Below are 20118 nucleotides of genomic sequence, written 5' to 3' on the forward strand. Positions count from 1 at the left end.
GAGCAGGGAGGACTTTGTTTTGCATCCTGGATACCAGCTAAGCCACAGCAGGATAAGGTATTGGTCAGAGTCATGAGGCCCACTTTCCAGGGCCTAGCTCCCGAATGACATTTCTAGGCAAACTCTTGGACAGAAGGGCACCTGATGTCTTGAAGGGAAGGAACCAGTTCTAGCAGGATTTATCACCTGATGACTGAAGAGACCTTGGGTCCTGAAAAAACATCAGCAATAGCTAGGTACTACATCAAGGGCCTTGGGTGAGACACTGAGACTTGCCGACTTCAGGTAAGACCCAGCCCATCCCCAGCTGTGTTGGCTACAGGGAGAGACTTCTGCTTGAGTAAAGCAAAGGGAAAAGTAAAGGAGACTTTGTCTTATACCTTAGGTAACAACTCAGCCACATGGTCATAGAGCACCAAGTGGGTTCTTGGGGTCTTTCATTCCAGGCCTTGGATCTTAGACAGTATTATTGGACCTGCCCTGGGCCAGAGAGGAGCACACTGTGATGGTTAATACTGTCAACTTGATTGGATTGAAGGATGCAAAATATTGATCCTGGGTGTGTCAAAGGAGATTAACATTTGAGTCAGTGGGATGTAAAAGGCAGACCCACTCTCAATCTGGGTGGGCACAATCTAATTAGCTGCCAGTGTGTCCAGGATATAAAGCAGGCAGAAAACAATAAAAGGCTATACTGGCTTAGCCTCCTAGCCTACATCTTTCTTCCGTGCTGGATGCTTCCTGCCCTCAAACATCAGGCTCCAAGTTCTTCAGCTTTGGGACTTGGCTTGGCTTCCTTGCTTCTCAGCTTGCAGATGGCCTATTGTGGGACCTTGTGATCTTGTGAGTTAATATTCCCTAAAAAACTCCCCTTATAAATATATTATTGGTTCTTCCCTCTAGACAACGCTGACTAATACACACTCTGTCCTCAAGGGTGAGTCCAAGGCCAGGCGGCATTCACCACAGGCTAATTGAAGAGCTCTTGGGCCTTAAGGGAACAACAGTGGTAGACTGACAATTACTCCCCATGGGCCTGTGGTGGTGATGGCCCAGAGTGAGACTCCTCTGCCTTTGGAATTGGAAGGAAGAGGAGGAACAACATCTTGTGGTTTGAGTGCCAGTTCAGCTGTTGTGCAATAGAATACCAGGTAGACCTCTAAGGTTTTTCACTCTGGTTCCTGGCTCCCAGATCATACCTCTCGCTCTGCCTAGGGCCCGGTGGATCTCACCAACCTGTAGGGAAGGACACAAGCCTGGCTGCCTTGGTCACCTGTTGATTGTAGGGCTGCAGGGCCCTGAGTGAACATAGGCAGTAGCCAGGGAGTGGTTACAACAGGTCATAGGTGAGATGTAGTGCTATGATGGCTTCAGATCTGACACAGCACAGTCATAGTGATGGTGGACACAGGGAAGCTTCTGTCACTCCACTCCCAGCTCCATGTGGCTCAGAACAGAGAGACTCCAGTTGTTTGGGAGAAAGTAAAAGAAGAGAAGAAGAGTCTCTGCCTGGTGATCCAGAGAATTCTTCTGGTTATTGTCCAAGACCATCAAGGCGGTACCTCAATGAGTCTGTAAGAACCACAGTGTTACTGGGCTTCAGGTGCCCCATAAAGCAGATACAACTTAGATCACAACACCCACTTCCTTTTGAATATCTGGTAAACCTTTCCAAGAAGGATGTGCACAGAGAAGCCCAGACTGCTAAAACTAAAATAAATATCTAACTCTTCAATGCCCAGACACAGATGAACATTGAAAAGTACCAAGACAATCCAACAAAACATGACCTCACCAAATGAACTAAATAAAACACCAAGGACCAATCCTGGAGAGACAAAGATACATGACCTTTCAGACAGAAAATTAAAATAGCTGTGTTGAGGAAACTCAGTGAAATTCAAAATAACACGGAAAAGGAATGTATAATTCCATCAGATAAATTTAGCAGAGATTGAAATAATGAAAAAGAATCAAGCAGAAATTCTGGAGCTGAAAAATGCAATTGGCTCATGAAAGAAAGTATCAGAGTCTTAATAGCAGAGTTGATGAAGCAGAAGAAAGATTAATGAGTTTGAAGACAGGATGTTTGAAAATCCAGAGGAGACAAAAAAAAAAAGAATAAAAACCAATAAGTCATGCCTACGAGATCCAGAAAGCAGCCTCAAAAGGACAAATATAAGAGTTATTTGCCTTAAAAAGATATAGAGAAAGAGATGAGAGTAGAAAGTTTATTCAAAGGGATAATAATGAATAACTTCCCAAACTAGAGAAACACATCCATATCCAAGTAAGGGAAGGTTATAGAACACCAAGCAAATCTAATCCAAAGAAGACTGCTTCAAGGCCTTTAATGATCAAACTCCCAAAGGTCAAGGATAAAACAAGAATCCTAAAAACAACAAGAGAAAAAAAACAAATAGCATACAATGTAGCTCCAATATGTCTGGCAGCAGACTTTTCAGTGGAAACTTTACAGGCCAGGAGAGAGTGGCATGACATATTGAAGATGGTGATGAAGAAAGAAAACAAAACAAAAACTTTTACCCTACATTATTGTATATGGTGAAAATATTCTTCAGACATGAAGGAGAAATAAGCACTTTTCCAGATAAAGAAAAGCCAAGTGATTTCACCAACCCAGACCTGTCCTATGAGATATGCTAAAGGGACTATTGCAACCAAAAAGAAAAGGATGTTAATGAGCAATAAGAAACCTTCTGAAGGACAAAACTCACTGAAGTAAGTATATAGAAAAACACGGAATATTATAACAATGTAACTGTAATACTATAACACTGTGGTGTGCAAACTAATCTTAAGAAGAAGTACTAAATGATGAACCAATTAAAATGATTACAACAACTTTTCAAAACATAGACAGTACAATAAGATATAATTAGAAACAACAAAAAGTTAAAAAGTGGAGAGATGAAGTTAAGGCATAGAGTCTTTATTAGTTTTCTTTTTGCTTATTGGTTTATTTAGACAAACATTTTTAAGTTGTTATCAACTTAAAATAATGTGCTATAAAATAGTATTTACAACCCCAATGGTAACCTAAAACCAAGAATTATACAATAGATACACAAAAAATAAAAAGCAAGAAACAAAATCACATCACCAGAGAAAATTACCTTCACTAAAAGGAAAACAGGAAGGAAAGAAAAAAGAAAATAATACCGGCCAGATGTGGTGGCTCACATCTGTAATCCCAGCACTTTGGGAGGCCGTGGTGGGCTCATCACCTGAGGTTGGGAGTTTGAGACCAACCTGACCAACATGGTGGAACCTCATCTCTACTAAAAAATACAAAAATTAGCTTGGCATGGTGGCACATGCCTGTAATCCTAGCTACTCAGGAGGCTGAGGCAGGAGAATCACTTGAACTTGGGAGGCAGAGGTTACGGTGAGGCAAGATCATGCCATTGCACTCCAGCCTGGGCAACAAGAGTGAAACTCTCTCTCTCTCAAAAAAAAAAAAAGATAATACCAATTAAAAGAAAGGTAAGACCACAAAACAGCCAGAAAACAAATAACACAATGGTAAGAGTAAGTCCTTACTAATCAATAATTACATTGAATCATTGAATGTAAATTGACTAAACTCTCCACTCAAAAGACATAGAGTGTCTGAATGGATAAAGAAACAAGATCCATTGATCTGTTGCCTACAGAAAACACATTTCACCTATAAAGGCACACATAGATTGAAAATAAAGGGAGGACAAAAGATATTTCATGCCAATGGGAACTAAGAAAGAGCAGGAGTAGCTATAATTATATAAGACAAAATGGATTTCAAGACAAAAACTATAAGAAGAGACAAAGAAGGTCACTCTATAAATGGGTCAATTCAGGAAAGGAATATAACAATTTTAAATATATATGCACCCAACACTAGAGTACCCATATATATAAAGCAAATATTATTAGAGCTAATGAGAGATATAGGCCCCAAAACAATAATAGCTGGAGAATTCAGCATTCCATTTTCAGCATTGGAAAGATCTTCCATAAATAATATCAACAAAAAATTATTGGACTTAATCTGCATTATAGACCAATTATATGCCAGTAAATTGAAAAATCTAGAAGACATAGACAAATTCCTGGAGATGCACAACCTACCAGGTTTGAACCCATGAAGAAATGCAAAACCTGAACAAACTAATAACAAGTAGTAAAACTGAAGCTAGAATAAAAACTCTTCAAGGAAAGAAAAATCCAGGACTCGATAGCTGCACAGCTGAATTCTACCAAATATGTGAAGAACAAATACCAATCCTACTCAAACTATTCTGAAAAATAGAGGAGAAGCGAATACTTCCAAACTCAAATCTATGAGACCAGTATTACCCTGATACCAAAACCAAAGACATATCAAAAAAACAAAAAAAACTAAAGGCCAATATCTATGATGAATATTGATTCAAAAATCCTCAAGAAAATACTAGCCAACCAAATTCAACAATAAATTTAAAAGGTTATTTATTATGACCATGTGGGATTTATCCCTGGGATGCAAGCATGATTCAAACATGGACACATGAAATCACATCAAGTTAAAAAGCTTCTGCACAGCAAAGGAAGCAATCAACAAAGTGAGGAGACCACACACAGAATGGGAGAAAATATTTGCAAACTATCCATCTGAAAAGAGATTAATAACCAGAATATACAAGGAGCTCAAACAACTCTATATGAAAAAAGATCTAATAATCTGACTTAAAAATGGGCAAAATATTTGAATATACATTACTCTGAAAAGATATACAAATGGCAAATAGGCATATGAAAAGATGCTGAACATCATTGATCATCAGAGAAATGCAGATCAAAACTACAATGAGATATCCATCTCACTCAAGTTAAAGAGGCTTTTATCCAAATATTAGGCAATAACAAATGCTGGTGAGGATGTAGAGAAAAAGAAACCCTCATACACTGTTGGTGGGAATGTAACTAGTACAACGAGTATGGAGAACAGTTCAGAGGTTCCGCAAAAACTAAACATTGAGCTGCCATATGATCCAGCAATCCCACTACTGGGTATATGCCCAGAAGAAAGAAAATCAGTATATTGAAGAGATATCTGCATTCCCATGTTTGTTGCTGTGGCATTATTCACAAGATCCAAGATTTGGAAGCAACCTGTGTCCATCAACAGATGAATGGATAAAAAAATGTGGTACATATACACAATGGAATATTATTCAACCATAAAAAGAATGAGATCCTGTCATTTGCAACAACACAGATGGAACTGGAGTTCATTATGTTAAGTGAAGTAAGTCAGGCACAGGAAGACAAACATCATATGTTGTCACTTATTTGTGGGATCTAAAAATCAAAACGATGGAGCTCATGAACATAGAGAGTAGAAGGAAGGTTGACAGAGGCTGGGAAGTGTAGTGCAGGGCAGGGGAGGGTTGAGGATGGTTAATAGGTACAATAAAAATCATAGTTATAAAGAGTGAATAAGACTTACTATATGATAGCACAACAGGGTGACTATAGTTAACAATTTAATTGTACATTTTAAAATAACTAAAACAGTATAACTGGATTGTTTATAACACAAAGGATAAATGAGGGAATGGATAACCCATTTATTGTGATGTGATTATTATGTATTGCATGCCTGTATAAAAACATCTCATGTGTCCTATAAATATATACACCTAGTAAGCACCCACAACAATTAAAAATTAAAAAAATAAAAATGTAAATAATAATAATATAAGGTGCATGAAGGGCAATGACTTTCATTTTCTTTTTTATCAAACTAGCTCCAGAACTCAGAACAGTGCCCAAAAGACAGTACATGCTAAAACTATGTGTGCAAGAAATGAGGGAATTAATAAGTGGAGTGTAACTAATGGCAATTTAATAAGGATTATTCAAATTTGATATTAAAAATAAAGTTAAAGTTAGTAAGATAACTAAGTCTACTAGCAAAACGGGCTTGTACACAATTGTAAAGTTTGTACTACACATGTTCACACAGATGGGCCTTTATTTAAGTTTTGCCGTCATTCATTGTTGCCTCAATATTATTTTTGTTGGTCCCCCAAAAGTAATGTATTTTGAAGTCCTGCTACCTTTGCTATTTAATTACAAATCAGAGTAAGTACAGTGTAACTCTTATCTGTTTACTTTAATGCAGTCTTTTGTTTGTTTTTGTTTGTTTACAGTACATAGTAACAAATACATCTATAATCTTTAGCTAGTGGTTTTCCATATCCTAGTCTTTAAGATAAACATGCATTGTAATTCAATATGAATCATTAATATCCTTATTTATAAAGCTATTATAGTCATAATTTTTCAAAAATTGTTGGTATAATGTTTTAGTTTTCATGTTGAATTTCATTTCCTAATGAAAAAATAGAACACATAGGGAAAATAATTATTTAGTCCTTCTTAAGTGAGTTCTGGTAAATAAAATTGAGTTCTGGTTCTATGCCTAGTATTAAATGTTACATTTTAAGAACAATGCTAAAACATGTTAAATAAGGCCTTGGTTGAATTTTGCAGAGGACAGCGAATATGGAGAAAATATCTCATGAAGATATTCCATGAAAAACAAGTAACGGATAGAGTTCAATTAACAGAAGAGATGCCTTTGAGAGGCTATGGAACTTTTATTCAAATAGTCTTGGAGCTTTGTGTGTTAGAAGAATTGGCCTGATACTATTAGTTCCACAAGTAGATCTGTGTTAAAATAAATGTGTAGACATTACCCAATGACATATTGTGGTTCAAGGAAAGCATAACTTTCTTACAACTCGTTAAATTCACAAATAAAATTTAATATTATATGTAATGTGATGGGTGCACTGTTATCAGAGGAATTCAAACAGAGCTACCGAGTAAGGCATGGTTAAAGAGAAGAAACAATGATACCTCCTGAAGGTAGTATACTCTGCTACCTCCCACATTAAATTTATGTCTCCCACCCCCATAAAAATTTGAATTTCTAACCCCTTAAAGTTGAAGAAGGAAGAGGGAAATGAGAGAAAAGCAGAGGGAGACAGCGAGCACTCAAACAAGCACCTGAGCCTCAGATGCTGATGCTAGTCTGCAGATTACATGAAGAGTTGCTATCTGTGGTCTCTGCTAGCTTTCAACACTCCAGGGAAGTGATATAATTTCAGTGTGGAATGGATGGGATGCAAAGTGAGAGGCAGGCTTGAGGGGAGGAGGAAGAATGCTGCCTAGAAGACTAAACCTTACGGCCCAGAATTCTCAGCCTAGAAAAAGGCTAATATGGATTATTTAACATTGAAACTGAATACCTTGTATCTCAAAGGATCGTGCTGACATGGATAATGATAAGTATGGTATACACTGACCATATAGAACTGAAGATTACAGAGTCTTTCTATTTTCTATATATTCAATATGTCTCCTGGAGTCATGAAACACAAAAATAAGAATTATTACAATGAAAGATTGAAGTGATTTGTTCTATCAACTCTTGGAATCAGAAATACTTAGATTTAGAGAGCTAAAATAAATAATTTGTTCATCTCTAGTATATACAACTTTCAGCAGTAAGATCATGTATATACATTACACACATAGAAAAAATCCATATGTGTATATATATAGAAAATGGCTATAAATATGTAGATCAATTATTCATAAGTGTGTATGTCTGAATATAAATATTTTTTTCCTGTCATTATGGAGACAGTATGATTCATATATAGTATACATATACATATAAGAACTTAACAATAGCCCTCCTCATAAGCGGGATTTTGTGGAGAAGTAGAAAGGGAGGACTTTTAATATTTACTATATTCTCCTGTATTGCTTCTAATTTTGCAATAAGCATAATTTTTATTAATATTAAATATTTTCAAAACTTCAATAAATAAAATCATTACTTTTTCTATTGTTCCCCTCAACCTCTGCCTTGACTGCTACATTAAGAATAGGGTTCGTGTGTGTGTGTGTGTGTGTGTGTGTGTGTGTGTGTGTGTTTTCTTTCTTGATATTTCTTCAGAGCCTATAATAGGGCTTCGCATATGACAAGCACTGAATAAATATTGAATGTCTGAATTACCTCTAGATGGATAGTGTAACATTCTAAAGGGACAGAATTATGTCATTCACATTTAATGAACATATGGTAATATAATGTCATTGAAATGGTGAATAGTAATATTTGATGTTTTTATTTTTGATGCTTTATGACATTAAGTTAAATAATCTCTTAAAAGGAAAATAAATATATTTTAAACATTTCTATCACAATCAATAATAATTAAGGGAAAAAATAGTTCTAACATTTGCAGGGTAATCTTCGTGATGTGGGAATTATGCATAACAGGACTAAGGGCCACATAGAGGGCGCTGGGTCTCGTTTTCATGAAGGACATAGCAATGACACTTTTGATATTAATCTCCAACTGAGGTTATTCATAAAGTCAGTGTATTTTCAATGTGTTAAAATTATCAACTGACTATCTGTAATCCTTTAAAGCCTAACCTCATTTTGATAAACTTGCTTTGATATTTCATCATTTATAATATATTGGGGCTCTCAAAATTCAAAATATCCTAGGCCATTTTCAACCTCTGGGATATGTTGATGAAAACATCTGAAAATGCCAGATGCCCTGAGAATTTTTCTTTTTTTAAACCCTTGTTCTAAAAAGTTATTTATAATAAATTGTGACAAAAATGGGACACAGGCTTTAAGTGTTCATTCCTAATGTGTATTAGCATTTTCTCTATCATATTTTATGTAGGGAGCATTAAATTTAGCTTTGTAACTCTAAATTTAATTCTCTCTCTCTCTCCCCAGTTGTGTGTGTGTGTGTGTGTGTGTGTCTGTGTGTGTCTTGTTTTAGATTTACTAATGATACTGACTAGGGGGAAAATACATGAAAAAAATCCAATTTAACTTATTAGTTCACTGAATGAGCCAGGCACTTTGCCAGGTATGCTCATGTTTGTGATTCCATCAATGTTTCACTAAATATTCTATTACACAGGGACTTGAAAATCATTTGTTTAGAAAAATGTTAGCTATTTTGCTGATTTCCATATTTGGGTTTATGTTATGTCAATCAAAAATAGGAGTAGATTATACTCTGATATTGTTTTTCAACCATAGGAAACAGAAACTTTAGCAAACAAAGAGATATAAACAAATCAAAGTTTTAGTTTTTTCCTTATTCAGGCAAGTTGGTAATCTTAACCCATATGAACATTTCTGAACCAAACCACCTCTTGCTGAAATTTATTTGTTACTTATTTTTGCCTTATTAGGAACAGAGAGGGACATGTGCTTCCTTAGTCTATCTGCTGACACAGAAATGTTATGAAGTAGGTAGAATTTTTAATTAAGGTAGTTTTAGGCTTAGGTTTACAGAGGTAAGTTATGCTGTTTCAGGCAGATACTGTATAGCTTACCTGTACATGTTGGTGTTTCTTCCTTAAACACATTTTCTTATTTGGTACAGCCATATCATTCTTTGGAAAAGGAAAATTCATTATTTGTACGAGACAACTTGGGCACATTTGGGATATTCCCAAAGATATCTAATAATAATATGAGTGAATAACTTTATTTAATTAAGCAACAGTAAAATCAAATAGCAATCAATTTGTTCAATGTAACTGTGACAGACTGTGATCTTTCAGGAAAACAATTGAACTACATCAGATTTTTTAATTAATAGACCACATTTGCTTAATCCATAGATTTTATTTAAAAATTCTCTAAAATATTAAAATAAATAATTCTCACAGATTCTGTGATCCAAAAGTCAGTCTAATGAAGAATGTAATATAAAGTGGTTGAATTTCTCTGATGATCAGTGATGTTGAGCTTCTTTTCATATGTTTGTTGGCCACATAAATGTCTTCTTTTGAGAAGTGTCTGTTCATATCCTTTGCCCACTTTTTGATGGGGTTGTTTGTTTTTTTTCTTGTAAATTTGTTTAAGTTCCTTGTAAATTCCATATATTAGACCTTTGTCAGATGGGTAGATTGCAAAAATTTTCTCCCATTCTGTAGGTTTCCTGTTCACTCTGATGATGGTTTCTTTCGCTGTGCTCTTCAGTTTAATGAGATCTCAGTTTTCCATTGTGGCTTTTGTTGCAATTGCTTTTGGCGTTTTTGTCATGAAGTCTTTGCCCTTGCCTATGTTCTCAATGGTATTGCCTAGATTTTCTTCTAGGGTTTTTATAGTTTTGATTTTACATTTAAGTATTTAATTCATCTTGAGTTAATTTTTGTAAAAGGTGCAAGTAAGTGGTCCAGTTTCAGTTTTCTGCCTATGGCTAGCCAGTTTTCCCAGCACCATTTACTGAATAGGAGATCCTTTCCCTGTTGCTTGTTTTTGTCAGGTTTGTGGAAGATCAGCTGGTTGTAGATATGTGGTGTTATTTCTGAGGTCTCTGTTTAGAGAAATGCAATTCAAAACCACAATGAGATACCGTGTGACGCCAGTCAGAATGGCAATTATTAAAAAGTCAGGAAACAATAGATGCTGGCAAGGCTGTGGAGAAATAGGAACACTTTTACACTATTGATTGGAATGTAAATTAGTTCAACCATTGTGGAAGACAGTATGGTAATTCCTCAAGGATCTAGAACCAGGAATACCATTTGACCCAGCAATCCCATTACGGGGTATATATCCAAAGGAATATAAATCATTCTACTATATAGACATGCACATATATGTTTATTGCAGAATTATTTACAATAGCAAAGATGGAACCAGCCCAAATGCCCATCAATGATAGACTGGATAAAGGCAATGTGGTACATATATACCATGGAATACTATGCAGCCATGAAAAGAAATGAGATCATGTTCTTTGCAGCTGGAAGCCATCATCCTCAGCAAACTAACACAGGAATAGAAAACCAAACACCGCATGTTCTCACTCAGAAGTGGGAGTTGAGCAATGGGAACACATGAACATAGAGAGGGGAACAACACACACCACGGACTGTTGGGGGTAGGGTGCAAGGGGAGGGAACTTAGAGGATGGGTCAATAGGTGCAGCAAACCACCATGGCACACATAGACCTATGTAACTAACCTGCACGTTCCGCATATGAATCCCGTTTTTTTTAGAAGAAATAAGAACAAAAATTAAGACTTATATATATATAATAAACTGGTTGAATTATTAGTGTCATGTAGACATCATTTGGAAGTACAATCACAGGCTGTGGGACACAAACAGAAATTAACAAGGGAAAGTATTTTCACCTCTGTTACCTCCTTAAGTAGAGATTATTTATTCAGCCAAACACTGGTGCTAGATGCACAAAAACTGTTTATTATGTGTGAGCAGAATAAGCTTCTATCTTTTAGAGTAGAAATATATGGATATGCTGCTTTCAAAACGATTTAATTTTTTATATTTTGATTTTTTAAACTGAGATAAAATACATCTAACATAAAATTTGAAAATTTAATGATTTCAACTGTACCATTCAGTGACATTAATGACAATCACAATGTTGTACAGCCATGACCAGTATCTACTTCCAAAAATTTTCCGTTATCCCAAACAGTTATGCAGTACTCATTAAGCAACAACTTTCCATTTCTGTCTCCCTCCAGTATCTGCAAACTCTAATCTAGTTTCTATCTCTATGAATTTATAAATATTTTATATAAGTAAAATAATAAATTATTTGACCTTTTTATCTGACTTATTGAGCCCATCACAATGTTTTCAAGTTTCATTCATGTTGTAGCATATATCAAAACTTTGTTCCTTCTTGGCTAAATAATATTCTGTTATATGTATAGATCACATTCTGTTTATTCATTCTTCTGTTGATCAACACTTGGATTCTTTCCACCTTTCCGCCATTTTGGTCATTGTGAATAATGCTGCAATAAGTATTGGTGCAAATGTTTGAGTCCTTGTTTCAATTCTTCTGAGTATAAGCCTGGAAATGTAATTGCTGGGTCATAGGATAATTTTGTTGAACTTCTTGAGGAACTGCTAAACTGTTTTTCACAGCAGCTGCACCATTTTACATTTTTCCAGCAATGTATGAGGGTTTCAATTTCTCCACACTCACAAAAAATTATTTTCCCTTTTTGTTTATTAATATAAAAAGCCTAGGATGTACAAATTGGTATCTAGTTGTACTTTTTATTTGCATTTCACTAATAACTAATGATGATGAACATCTTTTCATGTTCTTTTGGCCATTTGTATATCTTATTTGGAGAAAAGTTTATTTAATTTCTTTACCCATTTTAAAATACGGTAGTTTGTGTGTTGTTGAGTTTAACAGTTTTTTATATAATGTGGATATTAAATTCTGATTTTAGTATATAATTTGCAAATGTTTTCTCTCATTCCGCCAGTTTTCACTTTCTTGTTAATATTGTTTGATCCACAAACATTTTTAAATTTTGATGAAGTTCAATATACATTTTTTCTTTGTATTTTGTGCTTTTGGTGTCACTTTATAATTCTCTTGCCATATCCAAGGTCAAGAAGATTAACCCCTACGTTTTCTTCTGAGAGTTTTATGCTTTCAGCTTTTGTCGTTAGGCTGTTGTTCCATTTCAATTAATTTTTACATAATGTGAGTCTAATTTTATTATTTTACATATGTAAAGCCAGTTTCTCACCACCATTTGTCAAAGATGCTATTCTTTTTCAACTAAGTAGACTTGGCACCTTGACACAAATCGACTGCTCATTCATGTATGGATTTATATCTGGACTCTCAATTCTGTTCCACTGGTCTATATGTCTATCCTTATGCCAATACAACACTTTTTTGATTATTGTAGCTTTGTAGTAGGCATCAAACCTGAGAAGTATGAGGCTTCCAACATTGTTCTTCTTTTCCAAAATTGTTTTGGTTATTGGGGGCCAATTTAAATTTCATATGAATTTAAAGATTGGCTTTTCAATTTCCTCCAATGTTTTACAGTTTTCAATGTACAAGTATTTCACCTCCTTCATTACATTCATTATTTAGTATTTGATTCTTCTAGAGGTTATTGTAAATGGACTTGCTTTCATAATTTCATTTGGCAGATTGTTGCATATTGATATTGTATCCTACACCTTTCCTGAATTTATTAGTAGCTCTGGAAGATTTCTTGTGGATTATTTGATGCTGTCTATGTAGAATGATGTCATTTATAAACAGAAGTAACTTCCTTGCTAATTTGGATTTTTTTAAAATTTCTTTTAATTGTCTTATTGTTCCATTTAGCACTTCCAGTACAAAGTTGAATAAGAGTGGTCGAAAGCAGGCACCCTTGTGTTCCTGATCATAAGGAGAAACATTTTGGTCTTTCACCATCAAGTATAATGTTAGCTATGAGTTTTACATAAATAGCCTTTAATAGGTTAAGAAAATTCCCTTCTTTTCTTTGATTTTTGAATATTTTAGCATGAAAGGATGTTGATTTTTTGTCCATTGTATTTTCTACATCAAGTAAGTTGATTACGTGTTGTTTTTCTTAAGTCTATTAACATAGTGCATTATATTTATTTATTTTCTTATGTTTAACCACACTTGAATTCCTAGGATAAATCTCATTTGGTCATGTTAAATAATCCTTTTAATATGCTGTTTGATTAGTAAGTATTTCTTTGTTGATTTTTTTTTTTTTACCAATTCAATCTCTAAAAGAGCTTTATTTGCTTAGAATTCGATATTTGTTAAAATATAAGGGAATAGTTAGTGCCACCTACTGTTGCCAGACCCTATGATAAAATACAGTGTGCAAAATTGTGAAGGAAGACATGATTCTTATAATTTGTAGCTTATAGTATAGAAATTTGAGACTCTACATGTTTTTCTTTTTTATTCTTTCTTTCTCTTTTTAAGGGACCAGGGTATCATAATGTGAAGCAAAGCATCAATGAAAATGATTACAAAAAAGATGCATGACTCTGTTTTTCAATCTGAATCATTTGTATGTTTTCAGTATGTTTTCTAGGTTATACACATTGAAAAGTGACATTTATTTAAATTGAAACTTGGTTCAATTTAAATGAAATTAATGTTTCAATTTAAATGAACTTAAAAGTAGTATAAACTCACAAATGATAGTTTCAGTGTCTTCCTGGGTTAGCCAGGGACTATCAAGGGTTAAATAAAAGTAAAATAAAATTCCCATCGATTTATCCAAGACATTTATATGAAGGTAGACATCATCCTTGTAACTTGTTTGATCTTTTGAATAACGCCTTATATTATTTCATAATATTTATTTGTAATTTTTGCACATATTATTAGTAATTATTAAATGAATTAGACTTTTAAAGACAATGTATTATACAAATTAAACTATAATAAGTTTGCATGTGTTATAAACATGGAAAATTCAAGTTTATGAAATGGATACTTTTTCTCTGTAATATTAGCTTATCTGCCACTGCTGTATCTTTGCTGGTACACACACATACACAAACACACACACACATACACACACACATATTCAACTCCATACATATACTTTATTTAATTGGAAATTATATAATACATGTATCAATAATTATGTATGTCTACAAACATATTTACACATGTGTGTGTACAAATGTACACATTTATTTTCCAGAATTATATTTAGAAATTTCTTTCCCACATTTAATGTTTGATGGAAATAATGTTAACACTGGTTTGACAGAGTTGACTGGGTATTAAATTGCAGAAACTTACTGATGAATTCTTCCACAGCACTGTAGTCTTTATATAAAAGTAATAAACATTGTTTTAATACTTTTACTTCCAGTAAATTAACTAAACAAATAAATTAGTTGGTTGGTGATTTTTTAAAAGTCTTAAAAAGTTTTTGTGGGTACATAGTAGGTGTATATATTTATGGGGTACATAAGATGTTTTGATACAAGCAGGCAATGTGAACTAAGCACATTGCAGAGGGTAGGGTTTACATCCTGTCAAGCATTTATCCTTTGAGTTACAAACAATCAAATTATATTCAAGTTATTTTAAAATATGCAATTAAGTTATTACTGACTATAGTCACCCTATTGTGCTGTCAAATAGTAAGTCTTACTCATTTTTTCTACTTTTTAGTACTCAAGATTGGTAAAATTTAAAAATACTACTTGGAAACGAGAGATTGTGGTATGCTCAGTATATATTTAGTTCATACCTTTTGGATATGCTAGGAAAGGAAGAAAAAAGGCAAAATATTAGTGTAAGCCCACTGAAAATAAAAGAATAACAGTGCAATCACTTTTAAGAGAGAGTATAAGAATTCTTCAAATTTCTGAATGAAGAAGATAAAATTTACTAGAGTGCTACAAGCATAGAGGTTTCACTTGGACACCCTTATTCCCCAGTAAAATATAATATTAACAAAATGCATGAGTAAGCTTAAGAGAATTAAATTAAATCATCATGCAAAAAGCAAAATATTCAAAGGCAAACTATGTAAAACTAAAACAGGTTAAACCCAGCAAAGTGCAGTGGGTAGAGTGGTGGGAGGATCAGACATATTGCCTATGTGGATTGAGATATGTAATTTTAATCCTTCTATGCACATGTCAAATATTGTCTTTGGCCTGCATGACATATACAGTTTAACGAGGCCACTGCATAAAACCAATGATATAGTTTGAATGTGTGTCCCCTTCAAATCTGATGTTTAAATGTGATCTCCAATGTTGGGGGTGGCCTAGTGGGAGGTGTTTGGGTCATGAGGGTGGATCCTCTATGAATGGCTTGGTGCCAACCCCTTGGTAATGAGTGAGTTCTTGCTTTAGTAGTTCATATGAGAGCAAGTCGTTTAAAATGACATGGCATCTCCTCTTCTCTTTCTTGTTCCCACTCTTGCCATGTGACACGTATCCTCCCTTTCCCCTCCACCATGATTGGATGGTTTCTGGGACTTCACCAGAAGCAGATGCTGTTGCCGTGCTTCCTGTATAGTCTGCAGAACCATGAGCCAATAAATCCTTTTTAAAAAATAAATTGCAGAGTCTCAGGTATTTCTTCATAGCAGTGCAAAACAAACTAACACAATAAATTCTTTGAAATGTTTGGGTCCTCCAATAAACAAACCAACCAACAAATAGTCAAAAAATCTAATTCATTTACTGGCCCAAGAGAACAGGATGTTTTGATAATTTAAAATAAAGTAAAATATATTGAATATTTAAAATACCATAGCTAACTGAGAAAAAAAGAATAAATTACAATGACAATGTTATAAATTATTTAATACATATGTATAACTATCTACTTGTGTACAAATATATTTGCATGTTTTCTTGATGAAATCCAATTATTGTAAAGAGTGACATCACCAAGATGGTAGGGTAGGAGACACAAGCCTTGATAGCAAAATAAAAGTGAAAACAATTTGCATATAAAAATATATTGTTTACTAGTATTTAATGGGGCGTAAATCATGAAACACTGTCACTCAGATTACAGGTTCATGTAATATCAACCTCAAATTATAGATTGGAATGACAGTTTATAACATTGAAATGTGTCAAAGTGCCCATAAAATGAGAATATGGAAGGGAGAAACAAGCTTAAAGGTCAGCTGATTATATCTTCCTTCTAAAATTGAAAAACATTCCATGGTATCCATGACCAGTGTTCATCCAGGTTCAGCTGAACACTTCCTGTGACAGGAATGCACCACTCTGAGAGACAGCTCATTCCCTTGGAACTGTCCAACAGGAGCTCTAATTGTTATAGAGGCACACCACTTTGTACTGAACTGAAATCTGTCTCTGAATAATTGTCACACATAAAAGTTGTTTTTGTCATCTACAGCAACATAATTTAATCTAGCCACTATTTTCCATGACAGTACATCAGCTATCTGAAGGTATTTCTTTTGTATTTCATAAGTCTTGCCTTATGTAAGTGAAACATCTTACCTTTTCCTAATGTTTTCTCATGTCATACAGCTTCAAGACCTTTCAAACACAAGGCCAATCTTGTGTTTTATAGACTACAGCCTGTAAATACCATTCCTTAAAATGAGGCAAATAAGTCTAATAAGACATTTCCATTTAATTGGTCCAGGATAGAGTATTGTGGAGATAATAGAGATTAAGATCCAAACATTATTTTTCTTCTAATCCTGTTTTTTATTAAATTTGATTTGTTTTTCTACAAGCATATTGCATTTTCAAAATCACAGCAAATGTAGTCATTTGAGATTTTTACTGCTGTTTTCTATTAACAGTCTTTAAGCATTCCATAACTTTTAACTTTGCAGTTGTGTCTTTGAGTACAGCTAAAGAACCTTAAGTAGCAGATATGGTATATGGATCTAGCTTATAAGCACTAAGGAAGATTCATTATTTAGAATCCCAATTTTGCTAATTTGTGTAATAGCTTTCTAATTCTCTTATAATTGTGTATGATTCATTATTTAAGTAAAAGTCCTTTCTAAAATATGTGTTCCTGTGCTCATATTTAGCTTGTGTTTTAAATCCTGTGTCTGCACTGATTTATCAGTGCTTGTATCATGCTTATAAAAATTTTTTAATTTCACTTCTGTTACATCTAAGCAATTGATTCAAAATTTTAATGTTTTCTGAATGAGACCAAGGAAATTTTCAGTAACTCGTTTCTAATGTCATCGTATAGAATTAACATCTTTGACAATCATTTGAATATTTTTCTAGTTGTATCAGCATCTATATAATGTTTCTCATGCATACTCTTAAATAATTAAATTTTCTCAAAGGTCTTAGTGACGAAAGAACATTTTTAACCCATTCTGCGTACATTTTTACTTCTAAAATTGATTTTTATAATAAATTTTTAAAAAGTGGACATTCTTGTAAAATTTTTATATAATGTGTCATTCTTAAGTTTTTCGAAACCTCTTGTTTAACATAATCTTTTCTTTTTTTTTTTGAGATGGAGTCTCGCTCTGTCACCCAGGCTGGAGTGCAGTGGCATGATCTCAGCTCACTGCAAGCTCCGCCTCCCGAGTTCATGCCATTCTCCTGCCTCAGCCTCCGGAGTAGCTGGGACTACAGTCTCCCGCCACCATGCCCGGCTAATTGTTTGTATTTTTTTTTGTTTTTAGTAGAGATGGGGTTTCACTGTGTTAGCCAGGATGGTCTTGATCTCCTGACCTCATGATCTGCCTGCCTCAGCCTCCCGAAGTACTGGGATTACAGGCGTGAGCCACCACACCCAGCCTGTTTAATATAATCTTGAATCTTGCCAAACTGCTACTTGTATATCTAAACACTTATATATATGTACAGAATAAAAAATTATAAATAATAGAAATTACTCTAGTGTGGGGTTGTTTTTAACCAGTGATATTTATTTACAAATCTGTTGGTGAATTCAACCAGAAGTGGCTACGTTAGGGTATTTATGTCCATCACTGTTTTCTTTTTATTAGCTTGGTTGTAGGTCCCTAAACTACAAAGGATATTTCTACCCTTGCTTTCCTGATGTGCATAAACAAGTGTCATGTCACACATTTCAAAGAAGTCCTTCATGGATCATTTTATGACAATTTAGGGGCCCTGATGTTTACCAGCAGAGCCGACAAACACAGCAAACACTTTCTTTTAGGTATAATGCCTTACTAAACAGAAACAAACAAACAAAAGAAGCAAATTCTCTCCAGAATACAATCTTATAGAATTTCTGTCATCATTAAATAATGCAGATATTTATCTGGACTCCATAGGGTTTATGGGATGTGCTTAAACTAGGTTAATACTATAGTTTTATCCATGGGTATTATATTTGTAATTCAGTTCCTGGCCTATATAATCTGTCAAACACTGGGTGAATTTTATGTCTTCCAGAGATTCCAAATTTCCTACGGAAATAATCTAGCTGTTTTGGGTTATGACAGAGACATAGAGTGCTCTCTCTTCCATGCTAAAATGTGAAACAACCCTCTCATTTTTATCATATACATATGGTATTATGGTATTTTCACATACATATATGCACATCTTTCACATAGAAAATTTTTCCTCTTTGAAATGGTCATTAAACCCTGATTAGTGAAATTCATGATGCAGAAGCAGACTATATTCAATGGAGTTCAATTGTTTTCTCTTTAGACCCTCAGATTTTCTTTGCTATGTTTGATTACACATCACATTATATGCAAAAATTAACTCTAAATGGATTAAAGCTCTAATTACAAACTTTTTATAAAAATACCTGTTTTCTGAGAATTACAGAATTCTTAGAAAAACATGCATGTGGCCAGGCATGGTGGCTCACACCTGTAATCCCAGCACTTTGGGAGGCTGAGGTGTGTGGATCACGAGGTCAGGAAATCGAGACCATCCTGGCTAACACGGTGATACCCCGTGTCTACTAAAAATGCAAAAAATTAGCCAGGCGTGGTGGTGGGTGCCTGTAATCCCAACTACTAGGCAGGCTGAGGCAGGAGAATGGTGTGAAACTGGAAGGCAGAGCTTGCAGTGAGCCGAGATGGCACCACTGCAATCCAGCCTGGGCAACAGAGTGAGACTCTGTATCAAAAAAAAAAAGAAAGAAAGAAAAAAAGAAAATGCATGTATCTTTTATTGTCATGTGTTGTTTGGCAATGGATTCTTAGGTTATACACCAAAATTATAAGCAATAAGAAAAAAATTGAGAACTTTTGCAGTTCAAAGATAACTATCAAGAAATGTGAAAAGATAACCCACGTAAGAGGAAAAATACACAATAAATATATATATTACATATTTATTACACACACACACACACACACACACACATATATATATATGAGATAAGGGCTCGTATCCAAAATATGTAGATAACAATTAAAAGACAAACCAATTGAAAATCAGCAAACCTTAAATAGATATTTTCCAAAGAAGATATAGAAATGTCTAGTACGCACATGGAAAGAAGTTATTAGTTATTAGAGAAGTTCAAATTAAAATCACAATGAGGGCTGGGCATGGTGGCTCACACCTGTAATCCTAGCACTATGGGAGGATGAGGCGTGTGGGTCACCTGTGGTCAGGAGTTTCAGACCAGCTTGGCCAACGTGGCAAAACCCCATCTCTACTTAAAATAACAAAAATTAGCCAGGAGTGGTGGCAGGTGCCAATAATCCCAGCTACTTGGGAGGCTGAAGCAGGAGAATCACTTGAACCT

General features: G+C 34.5%; 2 long non-coding RNA genes across 3 annotated transcripts in view; one reads left to right on the forward strand and one right to left on the reverse strand.

Annotated features, from left to right (window-relative positions):
- LOC105373776 (uncharacterized) overlaps positions 1–9494 on the reverse strand; it is a 116629-nt gene extending 107135 nt beyond the window's left edge. For both annotated transcript variants that reach the window (XR_923649.3, XR_001739817.2), the window contains exon 1: positions 9433–9494. This is a non-coding gene — a long non-coding RNA (uncharacterized LOC105373776). The remainder of the gene's footprint in view (positions 1–9432) is intronic.
- The window catches only part of LOC102724340 (uncharacterized), a 246221-nt gene that overhangs the window by 195625 nt on the left and 30478 nt on the right, over positions 1–20118 (forward strand). The window lies entirely within an intron of this gene.

Source organism: Homo sapiens, chromosome 2, assembly GCF_000001405.40.
Source record: "Homo sapiens chromosome 2, GRCh38.p14 Primary Assembly".
Taxonomy (NCBI): domain Eukaryota; kingdom Metazoa; phylum Chordata; class Mammalia; order Primates; family Hominidae; genus Homo; species Homo sapiens.